This window comes from Homo sapiens, chromosome 17 (assembly GCF_000001405.40).
Source record: "Homo sapiens chromosome 17, GRCh38.p14 Primary Assembly".
NCBI classification, from domain to species: domain Eukaryota; kingdom Metazoa; phylum Chordata; class Mammalia; order Primates; family Hominidae; genus Homo; species Homo sapiens.
Window position 1 is genome coordinate 5,699,609 of NC_000017.11, and position 5,248 is coordinate 5,704,856.

Below are 5,248 nucleotides of genomic sequence, written 5' to 3' on the forward strand. Positions count from 1 at the left end.
GACATGGTGAGCTGAAGAAGCACTCAGGTGAATGAGGCCTCTCTGCTTCCTCCAGGGAGAATTCATTGCCACTAACCTTCAAGCTCTGAGGCTGCAAAATTTGCAAGACAACAGCTGAGACTGATGGGGGCTGAGATTAGATTATTCCTTCAGGGAGGGGTATCACCTCCTGGGGGAAAAGGGAAGGGGGTGGACACCCCCAAGTGGGATGGGGGAAAGGAATAGCTGCAAGAAAAGAAGGAGGGGGGGCCCTGGAGGACTAGCACAAAGGCCGGATTTAGCCGCTGTGCAGGTCAACATCCCTGAGTCTACACCAATAGGAACCCCTTCCCTCTCCTCCTCTCCAGCTGCCTCTGCCCTCTGCACTCACAAAGCCTCAGAGCAATCGCCCAACCCATATGGTAAAATATTCATCGGGATGCAAGGCAAGGCAAGAGACTGAGGCAGTGTCAGAAGAGGGGGTGGGGTTTCCTGGCTGAGAGGTCCTGGGTGCATCTTCTTTGGGCAGCGAGCCACGATGTTCTCTGCTTGGGAGCTGCGTGAGGGTCACAGCTTGGGCACAGCTAAACTCCTGAGGCTAGCACAAATGTATTTAACATTCCACCAACGTCCAGCTACTGGGGACTCCTGCATTATTTATTTATTTTTGTACTAATGGCCTGAAACGTCTACAGAGCAGCTCTTGGATAGCATGGTGACTAGAAACCCAGGCCCCTTGCTCCGCATCTTCTGCAGTGTGAGCAGAGTTCATGGTCTTGGGTCCCACTGACTAGCCCTGGGTCTGGAATCACAGGCAGCATTGGGGTGATTTTCCTCCTTGCCAAGACACAGATCCCTCTGAGGAGCGCCCGGTTATTTTTGAGTCTTCTGTGCTCAATCTTATCCCTCATTTCCAGGAACTGCATTGGCACCCGAGGCTCTTGCAAGTGGCAATTTACTAGAACAAAATAAAATCCCTAGTCAGATTTAAAAGCAATGAAATAAATAGAATTGCATTTTTCACTTGGCGTCAAGACGGTGGAGACACACCCACGTACAACTTGAAAGCACCTTGTTTGCTTCCTTTTAAAGAGAGGCGGCTGATCAATCAGCCGCTTTCATTTAAACTCAGGGACAGGGGAAAAGACAGAAAGCAAAAGCCCCTTTTCTCCTTCCTGGAGTCTGAAACCAACTGTTCCTATTTCTTAAATCTGTGGACTTCCCCTCCCATCCTCTGAACCTTTTCCCTACTTTTTCTCAGGATATATTCCACAGGAATTGAACATCTGGCAACACAGGTTTCCATGGAAAAGACAGCAGGCTGGGCTTTGTTCTCACCCACAGCTGATGGAGATGTGCCTTTCACATGGCAGTAGGGAGCCACTGTTAGCCACAGCAGGCTGGCGCTCAGAGCCCAGCAGGTCATGGCAGCGCTGGGAGCTGCCTCTGTCTTCTAGCTCTTTCCTTTTTTGCTGCACTTTTCCACATGCTGACTTTCCCCCAGACTTGGCTTTATCCTGCCAGGACATAGAGAATGGTCTTGGAGCTTCCCTGATTCTTTCCAATGTCTCCAGTCTCTGCTCCAACTCCATGTGGTACTGCCTACCTCTACATGACCTGGAATATTATTTCAGCTCTGTTCATTGATGACTTTAGGGAGGTGGCCAGGCTCTGCCCATCAGTAGGACCAAAGTGGCCATTTTCTCATCTGGGACCCAGAGAGATGGGGGTGGGGTGCCTTGGAGATGGTAGAGTCCAGCTGAAGACCCTCAGGCCCAGAGAGACTCAATAGCTGGCCCAAGGTCACACAGCCAGTTAGACATTGGACCTCCCGGTACTCACTCAGGTGCTCTGTCCAGTGCTCCATAAAGCCTGAGATCTGAGTTGGCCCTTCTGAACCATGTCCTTGGCAGGGGAGGCAGAATGAGATATCTGGCAGAGCTGAGCTCTGTGGCAGAATGACAAATGGGCCCCTTGTATTGCTAGGAAGTGGGTTCTGGGAACAAGGGCAGCCAACAGAGCCATTTATCCACCTCCCAGTCAGTGACTCGGCCAGCAGTGGAGAAGTCAGAGAGAACAGGGGGGTGTAAAGGCTATGGGTTCTCTAACTCATTACTGGCAGGGACTGCCATCCAGGGCTGACCAGCACTTCAAACGTGAGGCCTGTTGTCCTAAAGACCAGGGCCAGGTGAAGAACATCCTTTTAATATAAATTGCACTTAAATTCAGTGCTTCTCAATTTATGTTAATTGCAAATCGAAGTCTTGCAATTTCACATGTGTATACATATACCTATATTTAATTTTTTAAACAGCATAGTATACAGGATGTTCTAAGACAGGAGTTTTCAAATGTAGATGATAGAAAAATAATTTTTTAGGGAGCATTTGGCAAGCGTTATCAAAACTTTAAAATATTTATACTCTTTGTCTTAGGAATTCCATTTCTAGAAATACAGCCTAGGAAAATAATCAGAGATAGAGACAATAATGTTTGTTACAGCATTAAATTAGATCTAATCTTAATATCCCACCATTAAGACAATGGTAGAGTGTAGTATATCCATTTGGTAAATTATTATGAATCATTCAAAAATGATGTAAAGAATTCTAATGAAATAAGAAAATGCTTATGATATAATGTCAAACAAAAAAGTAGGGTATACAACTGCATGTACATATGTTTCAACCATTAAATCTATATGTTTATTTCTCTTTCTCCACATAATCTTAGAAAGAAGGGTAAGAAAAAAACCATGGGAAGTGTATATAGTGTTTTCCCTCTCAAAGGAGGTGATTTGGGTGATTTTTAAACACCTTCCTCAATTTTTCATACTGTGAGTGTGTGTGTTTAGGATTGCACACACATAGCAGAGGTTTTATCTGGGCTGGAGCTGAGATTTGGGTATCTCTGATGGGTGGAGGTGACAACCTCTCTCTCTCAGATATGTTTACCTCCATTGATCTCTAGGGGCCGGCAGACTGTCCTTGACTGGTGCTATGATTTGAATGTGTGCCCCAGATTTCATGTGTTGAAAACTTAATCCCCAAATTCATATGTTGATTAGGAGTGGGAGCTTTGGGAGGTAATTAGGATTAGATAAGGGCATCAGAGTGAAGCTGCTGGGATGGGACTGGAGGCTTTATAAGAAAAGGAATGGAGACCTGAGCTGGCATGCTCTTGCCCTCTTGCCATGTGATAACTTCAGCCTTGTTATGACAAAGCATGAAGGTCCCTACAAGATGCTGGTGCCGTGTACTTGGACTTCCCAGCCTCCAGAACCATGAGCTAAATGAACTTCTTTTTTAGAAAAATAAATCACCCAGTCTGTGGTATTCTGTTATAGCAATAGCAACAGAAAACAGACTAAGACAACGGGAACACAGGCATTTATGGATGTGCTTAGCAAGCCTGGGTTGGGGCCCCAGCTCCTTCTATCCATGTAAATGGCAAGGGGCCCAGGACAAAGGGAGCAGAGCAAACAATGCTCAGAAAGGGGGCCTGGGAGTCAGAGGAGGGCTTGTTCTGAGAAACAACATAATGGCTGCTGCTTGAAAGTCCTCCCTTGCTACCTGTTGACCCAATCGCCATGGCAACTTGTGTTTACTCTGGGAAGAGTTGCTATTGTCAAAAAGAGAGCTATAACTCCCAAGGGCCCAAGCAACCCTTGGGGAGCCCATCTAGGTGTATGAAGTTAGTGGTGAGGGAGCGTGTCTGCAGCCACTCTGCAGTGGCGATTATGGAGCAAGAACAGGGGAGCATCCCGGGGGATCTGCGCCTGGGGCAGTGGAGAAGTGGGCAGCAGACTTGGCTCAGTGGCAACAGCAGAAAGTGTGGGAAGAACAGGGTGTTGTGCTGGAGACCAGGATCCCAGTGGAAATTGAGACTGAGAGAGGAAGACAGAGGGAGGGAACTAGGGGAAACAGTCTTGGGGCTTGATGCTGTGACTTCATATGTGTCATTTGGGTTACAAATATGAATATGGGATAGTAGGGGGATGGTTCAGCTGCCTCAACCTGTCTTTGTAACAGTCATGGCATTCTGCATAGTGAAAAGATCAGAATGGAGCAGGAGTTTATAAGCTCAAATTCATCTTGCAGACATGTTTCACGAAGGTCAAAAATTGGGTACCTTTAGGCAGGTCCTACCTTCTAATTGCCATGCACCCCACCCCTTCCTACTGTCTCACACCTGGCCCAGTTCACTTATTGCTATCACTTGCCTAAGCCCTGGAGGTATGTGAGTTTGCAGCCTGTGGGTGGATGTCCTCCAAGGGCCTTTCCAGCTCTCATGTTACAAAGTGGCTTTGCAGCCCTCGTCTCACTTGCCGTCCTCCATCCCACCCCCTCATATCCAGAGCTCCCCTAAGAACCACTCCCCCTTCTCCATGCACATCTGCCTCATGCCTGCCTTGCTTAGGCTGCCCTACCTGCCTGCAAGCCCTTCCACTCTGGAGACCTCCAACTTGTCTTCCAAGTCTCCATTCAGGGTTCTCCAGCTTCATGATGTCTTTTCCTTGTCCCCTCTGATGCAGTCTGAGCACTCCTGTCTTTGTGTCCTCACTTTGGCCAGACACTGTGATGGCTTTTGTCCTTGTCTCCCTTGGCTGCTAGCCTTGGAGCAGCATGGGGCCTACGCTCTGCTCATCTCCCAGTTTTTGGTGCCTAGCATGGTGCTATAGGAGGGAAGGTATTACATCTCCGTACACTGCTGAGTAATCAGGCACTGGCTCAGAGAGGTTCACCATGTTGTCCAGGGTCACACAGCTAATGAGATAAGCAGAGTTAGTACCAGAATTCAGGTCTTCTTCCTTGAAGTGTCCACTGGGCTTTCTCTGCACCAGGTATCACAACTTGCAGGGAAAACCCAGGATGCTTTAATCATTTGAAATGAACCAGGCAATAGATTAGTGATGAGAAATAATGGATATGGCTGATCTATCTGTCTGTCTGTCTAACATATATATGAGATATATGTCAATATATATACTCCACAGAGATGACCGAGTGGGTGCTATTCAGAAAACACATCGGAGTTAGTCCTTTCCCCAGAAAGTTGACCTCCACTCTTGGGCATCCTCTTCTGGATCGAGGAAGGTCCTGTTGGGTAAGGACTCCCAAAGCATCAGCTGAGTACACTGGCATTGTTCCATGTCAGGGTGTGGATGGAAGAATGCCTGTTTAGTCATGTGGGCTCTGCAGCCACAGTTCAAATCCCAGCTCTGCAACTTATGAGCTGTGTGACCCTGGATAAATGAGCTAACCCTTCT

The 5,248-nt window shown here is 47.5% G+C and overlaps 1 long non-coding RNA gene across 1 annotated transcript; it reads right to left on the minus strand.

Annotated features, from left to right (window-relative positions):
- Positions 1-625: 625 nt before the first annotated feature.
- LOC124903903 (uncharacterized) lies at positions 626-4,493 on the minus strand. Its single transcript, XR_007065592.1, has 2 exons — positions 4,409-4,493; positions 626-937 (listed from the first exon to the last, which is right to left on the minus strand). It is a non-coding gene; the product is annotated as an uncharacterized LOC124903903 (long non-coding RNA).
- Positions 4,494-5,248: the final 755 nt, after the last annotated feature.